Source organism: Homo sapiens, chromosome 16, assembly GCF_000001405.40.
Source record: "Homo sapiens chromosome 16, GRCh38.p14 Primary Assembly".
NCBI classification, from domain to species: domain Eukaryota; kingdom Metazoa; phylum Chordata; class Mammalia; order Primates; family Hominidae; genus Homo; species Homo sapiens.
In genome coordinates this window covers 3,281,699-3,283,490 of record NC_000016.10, presented here as the reverse complement: position 1 = coordinate 3,283,490, position 1,792 = coordinate 3,281,699, and the positions used below count along the sequence as shown (strand labels likewise).

The window sequence follows — 1,792 nt, the reverse complement described above, 5'->3', positions numbered from 1 at the left end:
AGGCGTCCACAAGCCCACGGCGCCTGCTCGTGACCAATTTCCGGGTCACGTTTTGCGAACTCCAGCGCCCATTAGGTCAGGTTTCTCCACACACTCACCGCCTACCAATGAGAAGGGAAGATTGGCCTACGGGGACTGGATGAGCGAGGGACCAATTGGAGACGAGAGGCGGGGCCACGGGGCGCGCCCTGAAATTCTGGGAGTGACTGGGGGCAGGGCAGCTGGATCCAAGCGAAGAAAACAAGCCTGAGGTCGTTGTGACTGGCGGGCAACCTGGGTTAGAATTACTCCGGAGCGCTTGGGAAAACGCAGATCCCAGGGCCACGCGCTCTCCAGTGCGTCAGTGTCGGGGTGAGACCCGGAAATCTGAATTGTTAATCAGCTTCCCCGGATGAATCCTTTCCCAAGCCAGGCCCCACCCGCTTCGGCTACTCTGGGCTGGCTGAAGATGGTCCCATTGGCCCCTGCGGCCTCGTCGGCTCCGGAAGCCAGGGGCTCCTCGGCATGTCGGGGAGGCCAGGGAGCTAGCCGCCCGCCCAGTCAGTGGCGCCGCGTGGCCTGCTGCGCGGGGCCTGCTGGGAGATGCAGTCCGCGGCGCGGCCTCGCGACTGCGCGTGCGCCCTGGGCGAGCGCCCAAGAGCCCGGCGGTTCTGAAACCCCGAGTCCCGCGGAGAACCCTGCTGGGCTTTGGGCTCGCTTCTGCGGCTGGACGTCCCAGAGGAGCGCTCGGGTCTGGGTTCGCGGCACCTGCTTCCGATTTTAGACCGAATTTTAAATCTGCCCGAGATGTGCAGCGCCTGCAGTTCATTCTCCAAGTTTCAGTCTCTTACCCAGCCCTGCAAGGGCGGGATCTGCCTCCAGCTCCGCCGTGGACTGTGATAGTTGGGGGCGAGTGGCAGGAGGGCCGCAGGGCCGATTCCCTATTGGGCGCGGTTGTGGGCTTTGTGTCGGTGAGCGGGGCTGCCCAGTTGTGAGGCGGCCCAGGTCCTCCGGGCCATGAGATCCGCAAATGGAAGCGTCCTGGGATAGAATGTGACAATCAGTTACCGTGTATTGAGCGTTTATATGCAGATCGATCCTGAAAACACGTTAGTATGAAGCAGATGCTATTAGCAGCCCCTTCCTACAGGTGGTGGCACTGAAGTCATTTACTTGGGTCACACAGCTAGTCTGTCGTCAAAGGTGAGGCTACCATGATAGTAGAGGGTAATATGGGATTAAAGGGGTTTGTGATGACTAAGTGAAAAGAGTACTGATATTTTAGTTTTTTTCTTTTTTTTTTTTTTCCGAGACGGAGTTTCGCTCTTGTTGCCCAGGCTGGAGTGCAATGGCGCAGTCTCGGCTCACTGAAACCTCCCCCTCCCGGGTTCAAGCGATTCTCCTGCCTCAGCCTCCTGAGTAGCCGGGATTACAAGCGCCCACCACCACGCCCGGCTAATTTTTGTATTTTTAGTAGAGACGGGGTTTCACCATGTTGGCCAGGCTGGTCTCAAATTCCTCACCTCGAGTGATCTGCCCGCCTTAGCCTCCCACTGTGCTGGGATTACAGGCGTGAGCCACCACGCCTGGCCTTTTTTAAAAATTTTATTCCAGGGAAGATGACAGATCCACAGGCTGTCGTGGCAGATGCAGAGCCAGCGACCCCATAGCACTCAAGGTCCAGTTTGGAAAGCCTTGTTTGCTCCCTAGGACCATTCTGGTGGTTTTAGGCATTCCTGTTCTTTTGTTTTTGAGATAGGGTCTTGCTCTGTCGCCCAGGCTGAAGTGCAATGGCACGATCATTGGACATTCC

The 1,792-nt window shown here is 57.7% G+C and overlaps 2 annotated features.

Moving 5' to 3' along the window:
* Positions 222-411: an enhancer, noted in NCBI's record as "active region_10319". NCBI's record gives its function as "activates an Ori minimal core promoter by ATAC-STARR-seq in GM12878 lymphoblastoid cells {active_cell/tissue: GM12878}" and the evidence as "EXISTENCE:reporter gene assay evidence [ECO:0000049][PMID:35858748]".
* Positions 522-1,027: an enhancer, noted in NCBI's record as "NANOG-H3K27ac-H3K4me1 hESC enhancer chr16:3332464-3332969 (GRCh37/hg19 assembly coordinates)". NCBI's record gives its function as "activates a minimal SCP1, AML or CMV promoter by ChIP-STARR-seq in primed H9 embryonic stem cells {active_cell/tissue: H9 hESC(primed)}" and the evidence as "EXISTENCE:reporter gene assay evidence [ECO:0000049][PMID:30033119]".